Here is a 17182-nt window from a genome sequence, read left to right on the forward strand (position 1 = left end):
TCCCACCCTGGTCCAGCTGAATAAAAAACTCTGGGTAGAGTCCCAGAAATCTATGTTTTAACACATACTTTAGGTGATTCTGACGGGCATTGAAATTTGAGAGTCATTGAGCTAAAGAGTCTATGAACTTACTAGAACAGATGACAATCAATCTTTAAGCTAAGGTTGGGCCTATAAGTAGTAACACCTGTTTGGGGAAGGAAGCAGAAAATGAGGTGAGGAGACTGAAAGAGTGTATCTCCATGAGTCAGCTAAAATTTATTGTCAGAGCATTGGAAGAAGGCTATGTTGTTTTTTATTGACATGTGCTCTAGGAAGAGAAAAAAGGTTTAATTTAAAAATGTACAGATTCCTAAAGGCTTTGAACTTTATAATGCTTGTTTGGGAAAACTGTTCCTCTGAAAGTGGCTGTCTTCATTTATATAATTAAATCTGAGTAAGATTATAGAAGATGGGGCCTAGATCACTTTTTCTCTACCCAAGGAGAAAAGCTTACCAGAGTTCAAGAGTAAGTTTTCTGGAAGGCAGTTAGGCATACAGGCAACTGCATAAACTATATCCTTTGTGACCAGCTTTCCGGAGGAGCTGCTGGAATATACTAACTAATCATAAGCGCGAAGTGGGCTAAGTCTGCTCTAAACTAGGTATTTTCTCCTTTCCACACAGCCGGGGGCCATTGAGACTGCCATGGAAGACTTGAAAGGTCACGTAGCTGAGACTTCTGGAGAGACCATTCAAGGCTTCTGGCTCTTGACAAAGTGAGTAGTCACAGCTAAGTGAAGGGCCGTGGAAATACAGCGTTTTCCTTGACATCACTGTAGCAGAATAGGAGATGGACCTGTGGTAGAATTTCTCTGGTTGCTACATAAGATAAATGATTGAATTACCAGGTTAGTCACATTTTCCAGCATTCCGTGGCTGATGATATGACCAGATATGACTCCTATACCTGTTTTCTGGGCTGGTCCCCTCACTCAACCATCACTACGTCTACCTTAGGTCAGGCCTGTATCTCCACTCTCAAAGACTGTTATATTGGCTTCCTAATTCTCTCATTCTAATCTCTTATTTAAAAGCACTCCCCCTATAAACACATTGAACTACTAATCATCTCATTCTAGGTGTCATGGAAAGAAAGTCTGGGAAAGAATATAGATAAAATCAACATATATACTTTGAATTTGATCTTATATACAATCATGAACAGAAAAACCAGGGAAATCATGAAGATAGCTAAGTCAGGTACATTTCCAGAGTTAGGATAAAAACCAAGTCGAACATTCAAGCCCTTATTGCTTCAATAACTGCCTGCATTCCCCCCAAAGATTATCTTATCCATAAGAGCTTTGCTTGCAAATACCACCACAAAGATGGTTACCTTTCTAGCCTTCTCAGAAATTCTGTTGTTTGTGTGACCATCTCTTTACCCGCCAAGTAAATATTAGTAATACCATGGTCTTTATAATAAGTAAAATATCCCTATAATAAGAGAAAAGGCAATTTTTTTTTACTACGGAAGCCTTAATATTAAATAGATAATTTGATTAGACTACCCAGTTCAGATACTTGATTAATTCAGTAAGTTCTGTTTTCTGGCCTGGTAACTTGATCACAAAAGGGTTCAGCAGAGAAGCTCTGTGATTCCTATACCTTGAGTAAATAATCATTAATCTTTAACTGCTGGGCAGGATGTCTTGTTAGACTAAGTTTCAGGAGGGCAACACTTGAATGTTTTACCATCCAGGCCAGCAGAACAAATTTTTCAATCAATGGAAAGTAGAGCCATTATCACCTGTGAGTTCATCTGATTGCTCACCATTTTATACTATTGTTTCAAATAAATAAAAATGAACTCTTAGACACCAACTTATCTGTTAATTTTGGGTTTTTGTTTCTTCATGCATAAAATGGAGATAATAGTATGTATCTGAAGAATTCTTGAGGCCCAAATGAGATAACGTTGGTAAATTAGCAAAATGCCTAGCACATGGACCTTCAATAGCTGTTAGTGCCCCTCTTCGTTCACAAGTGATAACTATTAGTAAGAGGCTCTTTCTTTGTAGCATCTTCCTTCATTTCTATACTATCCATCTCTGTCATTTCTGGGTTACCTCTAATGAAAAGAAAACTCTGCAATTCAGGCTTTTTCCTAATTCACTTTTACCAACACGCATTTCATTTCCCACCCCCACTTCCCATCCATTGTGATATTTGACTTCTGCAAATGAATATTCTGCCTTGATTAGAATAGGTGTCAACATAGATTTTGGAGATCCCATCAGTAGCAAACACTTAACTAATCTGTTTCTACACTGCATCTCCCTTACAAGAAAGAATACACAAATGCGGTATTTCTAAATCTAGTCAAGGCTGTTGTTGAGTTCTCAGATAATAGAACTGGTAATTTCTTTAATCTTGCACATTTTAATTGGTTTTATTTATATAGAAATATGCTTTTTTTGTTTGCTTGATTATTTTTATTCAGTGATTATAAAGATGTGTAGACATAAATTGTCCAAAACTAAGTCAGACTGCATGAACTATATTGAAGCTTAGCACTACAATTCTGCCTGCTTGATTTAACATCAACTACAATGATTGGTAACACCAGTAGTTTTCAGAAAAGTATGAACAGCTGTCCCCCAAAGAGCCAAACTTTGAACCCAGCTTGAACCTAAATAGGAAGCTCAAAAGTTGGTAAAGCCTATCTAGAAACTCATTTTACATTTCTCTTTTGTTTTGTGGTACCTATTTAAATTAACTACAACAATGAGGGATGAGTCCTGCATACACATAATTTCTTACTATCATATTTGCTTGTTTGCTTGCAGACTTTCTTCCTTTGCACTTTGGAACCCATCCATCCCCTTTAAATCGTAGTTCCTTGGTGTTCTTTTTGGTCTTCTCTCTGCCAAAAGCCTTTACCTCCTCTTCCCCATTAAAACCTACTTTCAGGAAAAGTTCTGATTTCAGTCATTTCTGCCATGGTGAGAATTTGACAGTTTATTTTCTTTGCTTGTTAAAAACCTCATCGTGGGTTCCGAGATGCATTATGCAATGGAAAGCGCTGCTAGTTGTAAAGACCATGGTTCAGGCATCTGGTCCAAATAAATGAGGTTCCTAGTCTAGCCACTGTTACTTTTCAAGCAGAAAAATAAGAAAAAATAATTGTCAAAAAGAGGAGCATTCATGGAGGATTTAAATGGCCTTTCATATTTAAGCCTTTTTGTTTGTTTGTTTGAAAATTCTAGCACACCAAGGCAGGGAAAGGCAAAAACAACAACAATGAGAACACAAAAACAAAAATCCCAACTCCCCCAACAGCAACCACAAAACAAAAAAACTAAAGAAAATAAACAAACATGCAGGCCCAGAAAGGTAAGAGCTTGCAATTACTCCTGGCTTCTTGCTTCCCATTTATTTAGTTCTTATGAATTATAGGAGCTGTAATATGGACCAACTACCCTAGCCTCACCAACCACACAAGATTCTCTCTTTTTTTTTTGAGACGGAGTCTCGCTCTGTCACCCAGGCTGGAGTGCAGTGGCGCAATCTCGGCTCACTGCAAGCTCTGCCTCCCGGGGTTCACACCATTCTCCTGCCTCAGCCTCCTGAGTAGCTGGGACTACAGGCACCCGCCACCACACCCAGCTAATTTTTTGTTTTTTTTTTAGTAGAGATAGGATTTCACCCTGTTGGCCAGGGTGGCCTCTATCTCCTGACCTCGTGATCCGCCTGCCTCGGCCTCCCAAAGTGCTAGGATTACAGGCGTGAGCCATCGCGCCCGGCCGAGATTCTCTTTTATGTATAACAAAAATGACTGAGCTTCATGCATATTAACTTTTAGCTCATTCCATGGAGATGGGACACTCCTGGCTGCTTGTCTAGCAACAGGGCTGCCTGTCTAGCATGCCTGGCTTTGGAACAAGGATTCCCATTTCAGAATGATGAGAGTAAAAGCCCTTTTACTGTGTATAGCACATGTGAAATGATTTTCACATCTGTGAACTTACGTTAGCTTCACAACTTTGTTGGTTTTATGATTCCTGTTTTATAAACGAGAAATGTGGGCTGGAGAACATGAAGTGCCCAAATGAAGAACATATAAGTGACAGAGCAAGGAAAATAGACTGCACTCCTGCATTCGTCTTGAGGCTGATTGGGTTCTAATTCTTTCCAAAGATGCAGGTGTGAGTTGATTGATGAACTCAGCTCAGTCTTTAGTCATATTTGATCAACTCCTAGAAATAGTTTGATGTAGGAGGGCAAGGTGGGAATTGTCAAGAGAAGAGACTGGAGAAGAGACTAAGGGCCTTTGCATCATGTTAAAGAGCTTAGATTCTATCCCATACGTGATGGGGAGGCACTGAAGGGTTGAGAAAGTGCAATCAATTTCCATTGTATAAAGACCACTATTGGCCCTCAACCTTTCATCTAAAATTGTTGGGACTAGATGTGAATGAGAAATGAGAATTTTTCAGATTTTAGAAGAATAAAACAATGCATATGTTGTTTATTTTACTAACGTTAAGTTGGTAAAGCCATTTTCCAAGGAGTAGTACTCAAATTAATTCAGGTAAGCTGCTTTGTGATTCTCTAAATTGATATGGGCACATTATTCAGTAAAATCAGAAAAATAAGTTTGCAGGCACTTGGGAAGAGAAGACAAAGAAAATAAACAGAGAGTCCAAGAGGGGCACTGGAGAGAAGCAGCCCTAAACCTCAGCTAGATCCCAGTTTAGCTGACACCATTAAGAGAATTCTAATGAATCTCCGATTAGGATTCAGGCCTCCAGGCGAGCTCATCCAGGACTGTTATATACATCTATAAAGACAGGATAGTGTTTATTTCCACCTTGCAGTTTCCTATTACCTTTCTTATTGGCCCTTCTGAAAAAAAAAAAAAAAGATTATTTTAAAAAAACTATGTGTTTGCTTTTAGAACGGATCCATTAAGCCAGCACCAAGGAGAACATCTTGACACTTTATGGAATTTCAAAAAGTATGATATGATGGCAATAAAGTGGCTCTTCAGCAGAATGTACTTGAGGTGTCTTTGTCTACAATGGTTAAAGAGACAGGAGGAGACAGCATCTTCCCTCCACACACGTTAGTGTGAAGTGGTGGTGGGCGATTGTTGTTCTTAATTCTTCTTATTCCTCATTGAGAGTAGTTGCCTAAGGTATTTAAAAACCGGTAATTCTTGTTCTTCATCTTTATAAAAGATACTTAAAATATGTTTCATTATTCCCCCAACTCCACCTGGTGTCTATCCCAGGGCTTCGGTGTAATTAATATGTGAAATCGGACTGTCCATGTGGAACATATAGACGGTAGAATCAAAGTGAAGTTGAAGAGTCAGCCTGGTGTCATAGAGAAAGCACTGAATTCACAATCAGAAGGTTTGGCTTTGAATCCTGGATCTACTACTTACTATCAGTAAAGCTGGGTGAACTTGGTTAGGGTTTGTCTTTTTAATTTTTTTAATTGGTGAATTTGTTTTAATATGTCCTTTTTTGTGTTAAGGTTTGCTTTAATATGCCCTTGTTTTAATAGTTTTTCCTCTGTTGTGCAAAGACTCCCCATTTAATAGGTCCTTTAGTTCATTAGATGTTTACTATTCTTGAAAGAAGCACAACCACTTTTAATTTTTGATATATATATATAGTATATAATTCCAGCTTATTTTTATGTATTCTTGCCAAAAATTGTTACATATTAATAATGACATTTACTGAGCACTTATAAAATGCACCAAATGTTTTGATGTCCATGCATTTGTCTTTATGAATACAAGTGCGTATAATTATTTTTAACTTTTATTTTAAGTTCAGTGGTACAAGTGCAGGTTTGTTACAGAGGTAAAATTGTGTCATGGGGATTTGTTGTACAGGTTATTCAATCACACAGGTACTAAGCCCAGTACTCATTAATCATTTTTCCTGATCCTTTCCCTCCTCCCACCTTCTACCTTCAGGTAGGCCCCAGTGTGTGTTGTTCCCCTCTATGTGTCCATGTGTTCTCATCATTTAGCTCCCACTTATAAGTCAGAACATGGGGTATTTGGTTTTCTGTTCCTGTATTAGTTTGCTATGGATAATGACCTCCAAATCCAACTCCATCCATGTCCCTGCAAAGGACATGATCTCATTCTTTTTTATGTCTGCATAGTATTCCATGGTGTATATGTACCACATTTTCTTTATCCAGTCTAGTATTAATGGACATTTAGGTTGATTCTATCTCTTTGCTATTGTGAAAAGTGCAAATGTATATAACATTTATGATCTTCTCTAATTGGAACTTCTCTCAGTTTTTTCCTTTTATTTTTCCTGATTACCATATAGTTTTTATAAAGTTACTCAATCATTCACCTATTATCAGATAATTACTCTCCAAACTGTCAATGACACACAAATGTAAGGGTTTATTATGATTCTTTCAAAACTGAATATCCAAGTAAGAAATATGTATCAGTGGGGCAGAGTAAGACTTTATGATTGGAAAGATAAATGAAACTATATGAAGCATCCCCATTTATTTTTGGCTATTTCTATAATAATAATATTTCTATAGCACTTTATAGTTTAAAAAGTCTCTTCTTCATTTAGATTAATCTTCACAGTAACAGTCTGAGGTAGGAAACATTACCTTCAGTTTATAAATGAGAGAATCTAGGCTCAGAAGAGTAGCACAGCTCTAAAGTTGCGGAAATAAGGCTCCAACCTGGTATGTTGTCCTCACTTTTGCCATAATAGCCCTTCCACTGTTGTGCAAAGATTCCACACGTGCCTCAGTATTATATTGTAACCTTCAATGGCCAAGGGTTGCCTCTTTCATATTTGGCATTCCCTGAAGAGCATGCTGGATCTCCTCTGGCAAAAACTTATTTGAAAAACAGAGAAATGCTGTCTCTTGGATTTGGTGCCGTAAGTGGAAGTGTGAAGGGCATCTATGCTTAATTTAGAAAGATTCTGCAGAAGAAAGGGCTCTATTAGATCTTTAAATAAAAAGAAGAGCAGCCTGGGAGACAAAGGAACATTGAAGAAATGGTGATCAGGGACTGTTTTCCAGGCACAGGGTTGCCTCTTTAAGTATCCTGGTCCCCAAAGTGACACTGTGTGTGGTCGCTTTCACACCTACTATCCTATGCAATTCTCAAACAGACCCATGGGAGAAGGCAGGGAGGGACTATTGGCTTTATTTTACGGATGAAGAAACCTAGAGATTAAATGACCTGCCGAAGGGCAACCACTTATTAAGGGTCACAGGAGGGCTTGACTTCATGACACCTCTCTCCCAGGCCAGTTGTCTTCTCGTTACACTGCTTTTGCTGCCTTTTGTGATTTTTTTTTTTCATCTCCCAATACAGTGATCACTGCAGTTCAAATTGGTTAAATAATCTTTGTGCCTGTGTCTGTTTTCTTTGTTGATTGTCTTTTGTTTGCAGGGAATAGGATCAGGGGTTCATTGGGCAGGTTCAGGGACCTTTTCCTCTCCAGATCTTTCTCTGGTTTTTGCTGTTCATTTGACTTTATTTAGTCTTTGACCAGGAACAACAAAAAAGTCAAATGCCTGTAAGGGATGGTGGGCAATGCTGATGGACTAAAGCCAGTCACACGTTTACCTTGTCACAGTCTCATTATGTTATCAGGACTGCTAAACTAATCATATAATAAAAACACTACTACCAATAATTAAAAAGGAAAAAGGTTAAAAAAAACTGGAAATCAGAGATTTCTAATCCTTATTAAATCATGAGGAACTGAATGATAAAAGTACTATGGAAACTACCATTTCGAAACTGCATTTTCTACTCAACCCCATGGATTTTTGTACGCGCTCATCTAGTCTAGACCCCTGGTACTCAAAGTGTAGTCCTGAATTCAGCAGCACCAGCATCACCTGGGAGCTTGTTAGCAATGCTAACCCCTAGTTCTCATCCCAGCCAGGCCTACTGAACACAAATCTGCATTTTCACAGGATCCCCAGTTGATTCCTTATGCACATTAAAATTTGAGAAGTATACTGGTCCAGATCACTCTCATGTTCATGCATAAGAATTTCGGTGGGTTCTCACTGCTTCCATATACGTCTGTTACATCCACAAGCCTTTGTATGTCATGACTGAGTTTCTTGCTCCAGCCTTACTTACCATTATGAGCCTTTACAAATTCTATCAGTCAAATTGAACTGCCTGCTGTTTCCCCAAATTTCCGGTGCTATCCCTTGGCCTCATGATTGCACTCATCCCATTTCCTCTGTTTTGTATGCCTCTGCCTTGTTTCTGCTAACCCGGCCTTCTCCTGTCATTCAGGGATACCAAGTCCATAGAGCCTTTCCATATTGATTCAACTGGAATAATCTTGTCTCCCTTCTTTGTGCTCACATTATACGATAAAGTGTAGTTCATTGTGCACTTTGTGAAGAAGGCACTCCTTGAGGCAGGGCCTGATTCTGAGTCACTTATATTCAGCAATCTCAGCCTAGTTCCCAGTGATTAGTACAGTGTGTGGCACATGATTGGGCTCAGAACTTACCACACACTTGGCTCAGATTTGGTTCTGATCAAGTAATCCACTGTATGAAGCCCTTGGCTGATACTAGCAGGGTCCATCCGTTGTGTCCTGCCTCCGTGTCCATGGGCCTCCAAGCAACTCAAAGCCCAGTAAGACTTGCCTCTGTCTTTGGGTGAAAGCATTCAGGCTAGAAAGTGCCTCAAATCTATCAAGATGTTAATGACCTGTGGCAGGACTCTGGCAGCAACAAAAGCATCTCTCTTGCCAGAATCCATTTATACTGGGTGGGTGTTTTTGACAACCACTTAATTAAACACATTGCTTTTCTCTATAAATTCACCATGGCAGCAACCTTACCCTGATAGCTAATGGTCTCTGAGTGACCTGCATTATAAGACAGTGAGGGCACTTAGTTGCTACAGTCACAAATGTACTTGGAAGTGTTTATTTTCTCATGACTGCTACCAATTAGGGAGGACTCAGAAAAAGTCAAGAGGTGAAAGGAGTCTAATGCAGCGAAATGCCTAGCTACATCAGTTACAAGCTATCTGGCCATGGTTGTACAAATCTCTTATGTCCTCTGGGCCTCAGTTTTGTGATCTATAAAATAGGGATCTTAAGAGCGTTATTTCAATGATTGCATTACTTAATAATGTACAATGCTTATGACAGTTTTTTGCCATATGTTATGTCATGTAAGAGTTGGCTTTTAATTATTATTATTAGTAGTAATATTTATTTATATTCATTCATTCATACATTTATTTATTTTTTTACTGAGTTCCCTCTGTAAACCCAACTCTGCCCTAAGTGATGAAAGTACAGGGATAAATAAGACACAGTTTCTCTCCTCAAGGTGCTCTCAGTCTTGTGAGAAAGACAGACATGTAAACAAAGTCACAACAGAGTATGATACATACTGATATATGGCCCTACAAATGATTCCACGGGAACATAAAACTCACTGTGTATTGTTACATTAGGTAAAGAAGACATCAAGATTTTAAAAGGAGGAGGGGTTTCCAAAAGAAATGATGGTATAAAACATTCCTGGAAGGCCAGGCATGGTGGCTTACGCCTGTAATCCCAGCACTTTGGGAGGCGAAAGCGGGTGGATCACGAGGTCAAGAGATCGAGACCATCCTGGCCAACATGGTGAAACCCTGCCCCTACTGAAAATACAAAAACTAGCCAGGCGTGGTGACGTGGCCTGTAGTCCCAGCTACTCAGGAGGCTGAGGCAGGAGAATCGCTTGAACCTGAGAGGCGGAGCTTGCAGTGAACCAAGATCGTGCCACTGCACTCCAGCCTGGCTGTAGAGCGAGACTCCATCTCAAACAACAACAACAACAACAAAAAAACAAAAACATTCATGGAAAAGAGAAGAATATGTGCAGAGTAACAGAGACAGGCTGAGGGAATCACAAACAGTTCAATGTGGCTGGATTATAGTGAGCAAGAGTGAGAGAACTAGAAACAAGCTAGAAAAATAGGAATGAATGAGAACGTAAAGAATTCTGAATGGTAGCCTAAGGAGTTTGGATCATATTCTCTTCTGGAGTCACAAACTGGGGATCCATAGGCCATTTCCACTCTGGTCCGTGTTTTTTTAAATTTAATTTTGAATGCCTTCAGAAAGGCTGTGTGCTCCCAGCTTTGCCAACACATTGCCACTGCCCACTGCCTTACACCAGCCCCTCTTTATTCTCTAACACAGTGTGCAATGGTGCATGGGAACCAGCTCTTACCCCTTCATGAGAGCCACCTATAGGTGTCTCTTCCTTTTTCTTTTTTTTTTTTTTTTTTGAGACGGAGTCTCGCTCTGTTGCCCAGGCTGGAGTGCAGTGGCGTGATCTCAGCTCACTGCAAGCTCTGCCTCCTGGGTTCACGCCATTCTCCTGCCTCAGCCTCCCAAGTAGCTGGGACTACAGGCGCCCGCCACCACGCCTGGCTAATTTTCTGTATTTTTAGTAGAGATGGGGTTTCACTCTGTTAGCCAGGATGGTCTCGATCTCCTGACCTCATGATCCGCCCACCTCGGTCTCCCAAAGTGCTGGGATTACAGGCGTGAGCCATCACGCCCTGCCGTCTCTTCCAACTTCATGTTCAGGAACCTCACCTTGGTGTCTTGAAATCAGTTGTGACAGTTATTTATACCAAGGTAATAAAGTCAGGACATTATTATTATGATTATTTTAGAACTTGTTTAATATTTACAGCACACCATTGCTTTTATGTTGCCTTCATGGCCACTATAGGCATTCTATCTTAAGTTACTGAAGGATATCAAATAGGGTGTTGACATTGTTAGAAATGCATTAGGCTCTGGAAATAATTGCTCAATAATTTAAACATAGTCTTCATTATTTAGGGGCCTGCCAGTGTGTTTCCTTAAAGCAAACAAACAAGACCTCAGTCTTAATGTTGAGGCTATCAACACTTCTAGACCATTTTAACAGCAGTTATACAAACGACTTTTATAGCCTGTTAGGAGCAAACATGCCGCTTGATTTACAAACAATGCATTGTCTTCTCTCTAAGGGGTTTCCTGGGTTGTGCCAAAATGTCCTGTAGGGAGGGTAGGGTGGGTTTAAGAAGAGCACGTAGAGCAAGAAGGGTGAAGAGAAGGAAGCCTGTGCTTCCAATGGTCTGTTCAGTAGACAGAACTTTACAGTCCAAGAGTTGCTGTGGTTTCTGAAATGCTTTGCCATGTGAATTAATTAAAAATGTAGAGTGCTAAGTAAAGAAAATTAACAGGGACAGAGAAGGATATTATCTAATGATAAAAGAGACAATCCACCAAGAAGATACAGCAATTCTAAATGTGAATGTACCAAGCAATAGAGTTGAAAAATACATAAAATAAAAACTGATAGAACAGAAATGAGAAATAGACAAATCCATAATTATAGTTTGAGACTTCAACAGTCTTCTCTCAGTAATTGGTATCACCGCTAGACAGAAGATCAGGAAAGATTTAGAAAACTCAACACCATCAATCAGCTGGACCTAATTAATATTTATGGAACACTTCATTCAATAACAGCAGAATGCACATTCTTTTTAAGCATCTACATTACATACGGATGCTGATGCAGTATTTTGCTTATGCAAGAGCTACCATATCCTTAGCCACAGAACAAACCTCAACAAATTTGAAAGAATTAAAATCATACAGAGTATGTTCTCTGACTACAATGAGTCAAACTAGAAATAAATAATAAAAAAAATAGAAAAATGTCCAAACACTCGGAAATTAAACATACTTCTAAATAATTCAGTGATCAAAGTGGGAATCTCAAAGGAAATAAAAATTACATTAAACTGAATGAAGAAAAAATACAACTTATCAAAATGTGTGGGACGCAGCGAAAACAGTGCTGAAAGTGGAATTTATAGCACTAAAGGAAAAGTGTACATATTAATTGAGGGAAAGTCTCAAATCAACAACCTAAGTCCCTGCTTCAAGGAACTAGAAAAAGAAGAGCAAAGAAATGAAAAGTGAGTAGAAGAAAGTAAATAACTTAGATAAGAATAGCAATCAATGAAAAAATTAAACAAAAAAAACCGAAAGAACTATAGAAAAAATTAACAAAACAAAAAGTTGGCTCTCTGAAAGGATCAATAAAATGGAAAGCATCTAGCAAGGCTGACAAAAAAAAAAAAAAAGAAAAAGAAAAAAGAGGAGACACAAGTTACCAATATCAGGAATGAAACAGGGGATATCACAGCATATCACTACAGATGCTGCAAATGTTAAAGAGACAATAAGGGATTATAGCTAACAATTCTACACATATCAATTTGACAACTCAGATGAAACAAACCAATTTCGCAAAACACACAAACTATTGCTACTCACTCAACATGAAAGAAAAAAAATTGAATAACCCTATAACAATTAGGAAACTGAACAATTAGGAGACTAAAGGCAGGGGGAAGGGAGATCATTGGAGCCCAGGAGTTGGATACTAGCCTAGGCAACAGAGTGAGATCCTGTCTTCACAAAAAAAAAAGAAAAAAAAGAAAAAAATTAGCCAAGCAGACAGTGGTTCATGCCTGTGGTCCCAGCTACTCAAGAGGCTAAGGCAGAAGGACTGCCTGAGCCCAGGAGTTTGGGATTGTCTCTCTGTAGCCCTGTCCTGTTCTCAGGCCTCAGTTCCATAGCAGGGTAACTGGTGAGAATCTCCCCCACCTTTCCTACCAGAGTTCCTGGAGGGGGAAGCAGGACTGCTGTACAGGGAGGGCCACGGCAGCTGCCCTTCTGTCCCTGGCACAGGGCTTTGCTCAGTGTGGCAGTTTTAGTTCCTGAACTGAATTTTTCTTCTCTCAAAAGTCATGCTGGTTGCTTTGGAGCTGTCATTTTTTTCCCTCTAGCCTTGAGATTGACGCAATTGTAGCCCTCACTGTGAAGAAGTAGAGAGAAGCTTCTTTATCTGCTGTTTTGATACAAGTTGTTACTACACACTTCTTACGCTGTAACTTAAAAAATGCAATCATTGTAAATTTGTAACCCATCAGCGTTCTTTCAAATGTTGATTTCAGTGAACTTCTTTGTGTGTGTGATTTGTAGAAAAATAAATAAATAATAAATTAAAAACTGTAAAACTATGGTCACGCCACTGGCCTCCAGCCAGAGTGCCAGAGAGACCCTGGCTCTAAAATTAGGAAATTTAATTTATAATTAAAGATTTCTGGCCAGGCACAGTGGCTCATGCTTGTAATCCCAGCACTTTGAAAGGCTGAGGTGGGCAGATTGCCAGAGCTCAGGAGTTCGCGACCAGCCTGGACAACATGGTGAAACCCCTTCTCTACTAAAATACAAAAATCAGCCAGGTGTGGTGGCGGGCGCCTGTAGTCCCAGCTACTCGGGAGGCTGAGGCAGAAGAATCGCTTGAACCTGGGAGGCGGAGGTTGCAGTGAGTCGAGATCGCCCCACTGCACTCCAGCCTGGGCAACAGAGCGAGACTCCATCTCAACAACAACAGCAATAGCAACAACGACGACAACAACAATTCCTCTAAAAGAAAATTTTAGGCTCAGAATTCTATGAAATATTTACAGAAGAATGAACATTAATTTACATTTTTTTTCCAAAAATAAAGCAGAAGGAAATACTCCCAACTTATTCTATGAAGCCAGTATAACCTGATACCAAAACCAAAGACAGTACAAAAATAGAACTATAGATCAGTATTCCTCATAACTGTAGATGCAAAAATTCTTAATAGCAAATATAACACAGTATTAAAAAAAATTGGTGTAAAAAGAATTATACATCATAACCCAAAGTGGGTATATTCTAGGCATGCAAGGCAGGTTCAATTTGGAAAATTAATCAATATAATCAACCATATTAACAGGTTAAATCAAGTAAATATATCATCATATCAACTGATGCAGAGAAAGTATTTGACAAAACTCAGCACCCACTCATGATAAAAACAAAAAAGAGGAAAACTTTCCTCTATTTAAAAGAAAAATTTGCATAAAATCTATAGATAACATCATGCTGTTGGGTAATGTCTAATTGTTCCCCCCTAAGATTTGGAACAAGGAAAGCGTATTCATTCTCACTACATTGAATACTCTAGTAATTCAATGTAATACTGGAAGTTCTAGCCAGCAAAATAAGGCAAAAATAAAACAAAATGCATACAAATCAGAAAGGAAAAATATTAACTATCTCTATTTGTATATGACATGATAATCTATTTAGAAAATTATAAGGAGTCTACCAAAAAAACTGTCCAGATCTAATAAATTATTTCAGCAAATTTTCAGAATACAAGATCAGCACCATAAGTCAGTTATATTTTTATATACTAGCAATAAAGAAGTAAAAGCTAAAATTAAAAATGCAATAACACTTGTAATCATGCAAAATAAAGAAGAATTACTTAGGTACAAATCGCACAAACATGTATAGGACTTGTATACTGAAAGTTACACAATGCTGATAAAAGAAATCACAGAAGATCCAAATAAATGAAGAGGCATACCGGGTTTGTAGATTGGAAGACCCAACATAGTAAAGATGTCCATTATCTTCAAATTTGAAATACAAATCAAACGCAATTCCTATCAAAATCTAAGCAAGATATTTTTGTAGGTATAGACACATTTATTTTAAAATTTGTGTGGAAAGACCAAAAAAAAAATAGCTAAAGCAATTCTTAAAAAGAATAAACTTCTCTTAACTGGCAGGCAGTTCCTATTTTCTGTGGTGGAAGTTCAGCCTTTGGCCGTAGCTGACTGGACAAAGAGAGGTTAAGTCATTAGACAGCCTGTGACCCAAAGGGAGAGCTTAAAGAAATGATCTGGATGAACAAAATTCTCTATCTTGGGAATCTGAACTGAGAGATACAGAGATACTGCAGTTAGTTTTGAAAGCAGATCTGAAAATTCATGTACAGTCAGGACTAAGTAAATGATTAAAGGTCACAGGCAAGAAGGAAGTAAAGAGGAATGAATATTTATGGTAGCAGAGGGCGCACACCAGTCAGGAGGAAACATGAGGTGTATAGAGAGACACAGGAAGCACGACAGAGACCACTCTTGAGAGAGTAGCTTTTGCTCCTTGTGTCTTTCCAGGTACCAGGAAGCCCAGCTGTGCTGTAGTTCCTGCTCTTAGATTTCTGTGGGATTCCTCAGAGTATTTTTACAACATCGCCTCATCTTGGGTTTGCCTGATCTGGGCTGTGTCCCCTCTACCATACAAGCTGTAACGAACATACTACAGTAGGCAGATCTCTCTGCTGCTTAAAATAATAAAACAATGGAGGTGGCAAGATGTGTACATTTGTGCTATCTTGTCCGTCTGTTCTTCCCTCCTTGCAGCCTCCTTAGAATGGGGTCTTGTTCTCCTGCCAGCTTCCTTGGCTTCTGATCAAGTGAATCCCCTCAAGTGAATTCAGAGGAGGAGAAAGTCGGTCAGGGGTGGGCCTCTTGTTAGCTCCTGGTGTGCTGTAGAGTACTTGAGCTATTCAGTGGTCTTGTGGGAAAGAGAGAAGGATGGGGGCGTGCCCAGATTCTTTACTTTTGTGTAGCATTTAAAATATCCTCTTACTGATGGTAGTGCAGTAGAGAGAGCAAAATTGCCTGGTCCTGTAAGGAAAATAAGTGGGAAAAGCGGCTTGATGGAATGTATGCAGCCTGGGATGAGAGTCAGCTAGCTGGATTCTGGCCTTGGCTCTGTCACTTCATCCATGTCACTTTATTCAGGCTTGGTTGTTCCATCTGTAAAGTGGGGGATCATAACCATTTCACATGAAAAATAGTCATAAATTGCAAAAAAAAAATGTGTTGTGTCCCTGCATGTGATCTGGCTTCTGCCCCAATCTCCCTCCACTCTCTTTGCTCTCTTGCTTCAGTCATGCTGGCCTCCTTTCTGTCTCATGGACCTCCATGGATCCCACCTCAGGGCCTTTGCAACAGCATTTCGCTTTACCTAGAATACTATTCTCCCGGGTATTCTCCTATTTCCTTTTTCTCCAGGTCTCTGTATTGATGTGTCTGTCTCCTTTTGTCTGTGTCCCCTCCTAGAATGTAAGCGCCAGAGGAATAGGGGCTTGTTTTGTTCACCATTATACCACTAGTGCCTGGAGTGCAATAGTGGCTTAATTAATATTTATTGGATCAGTAGGGGGATTACTTCTGGCCTGATTACTTGGTATTGGGTTTCTAAAGAAATGCCTTCTTTATGCCACGTAGTGAGAAGAAGTTCAATCACAAATCAGTAACTTCACTTTTCAGCTATTAATATCATCCTGAGCTGCTGCCCTGTGTCTTCTGATGGGGGCTCGTATTTGCCTCCTCCATTGGCTTCTCTGGCTAGGGTATCTAAATGAATGTAGCATAACTCCTTCAACTGATACTCTCATGAGTTTCCATTTGGATCTTTTTTCCAACTTTTCCAGGTTCTTACTTATAAGGTGTTCCACAGCAGTCACCTGCAAAGGGAACTTTACATATAATGCATGGTCTGTATTTTAAGTCAGAGTAACTTAAGTATAACTTCCAGTAACTTGCAGTATAATAAAAATACAACTAGTTATGCCAGAAAAACTGACAGAAACCTTTTTCTCTTTTCTTCTCTCTCTCATACAAACACCTATAAAACATATATATATATATATATATGCACACACACATACATATGGAATTAATGACTTCTCTTTTAATTTTTTTAGGAAATTAAAATGAAAATATTTTGTATATCCGAAAACTATTATAGGCTTGAGGACTTCTCTTTAAGTAGATTTACTTCACTCACCCCCTCATTAACTCATTTGTTATTCAGTGAATATACAAAGTGTTTAAGGGATTTAGAAGAATCTTCATCATCGTCACCATCATATTAATAACCAACAATATTTGAACATTTTTGTGTGCTTGGTATTGCATTAAATTCTCCGTATGTCATATCTCTTTCATCCTAACAACAGTCCTATGAGGAATACACTATTATTATCTTCATGCTGGAGACGTGAAAACCAAATCTTAGAATGGATAAGTAACTTTTACAAGATTATACAGCTAGTAGGTGGCAGAGCTGCATTTCCAACCCCAGACCTGTGTGATAGAAAGCCCGTCACTGCTCAGGAATCTTGTGCTCATCTGTATTTATCAGGATTGTTGGTGAAGATTAAAAGAGATGATATG

At 39.0% G+C, this 17182-nt stretch overlaps 1 protein-coding gene across 24 annotated transcripts in view; it reads left to right on the forward strand.

The window, feature by feature from the left end:
* The window catches only part of TPRG1 (tumor protein p63 regulated 1), a 328078-nt gene that overhangs the window by 217399 nt on the left and 93497 nt on the right, over positions 1-17182 (forward strand). For 16 of the 24 annotated variants that reach the window (XM_047448032.1, XM_047448034.1, XM_047448028.1 and 13 more), the window contains 2 exons: positions 667-758; positions 4943-5002. In XM_047448032.1, the coding sequence (XP_047303988.1) occupies positions 667-758; positions 4943-5002 (152 nt within the window). Of the gene's footprint in view, positions 1-666; positions 759-3251; positions 3555-4942; positions 5110-17182 lie in introns of those variants that run through there. The other 8 variants (NM_198485.4, XM_005247382.6, XM_011512735.4 and 5 more) reach the window with 5 other exon arrangements.

This window comes from Homo sapiens, chromosome 3, assembly GCF_000001405.40.
Source record: "Homo sapiens chromosome 3, GRCh38.p14 Primary Assembly".
NCBI classification, from domain to species: domain Eukaryota; kingdom Metazoa; phylum Chordata; class Mammalia; order Primates; family Hominidae; genus Homo; species Homo sapiens.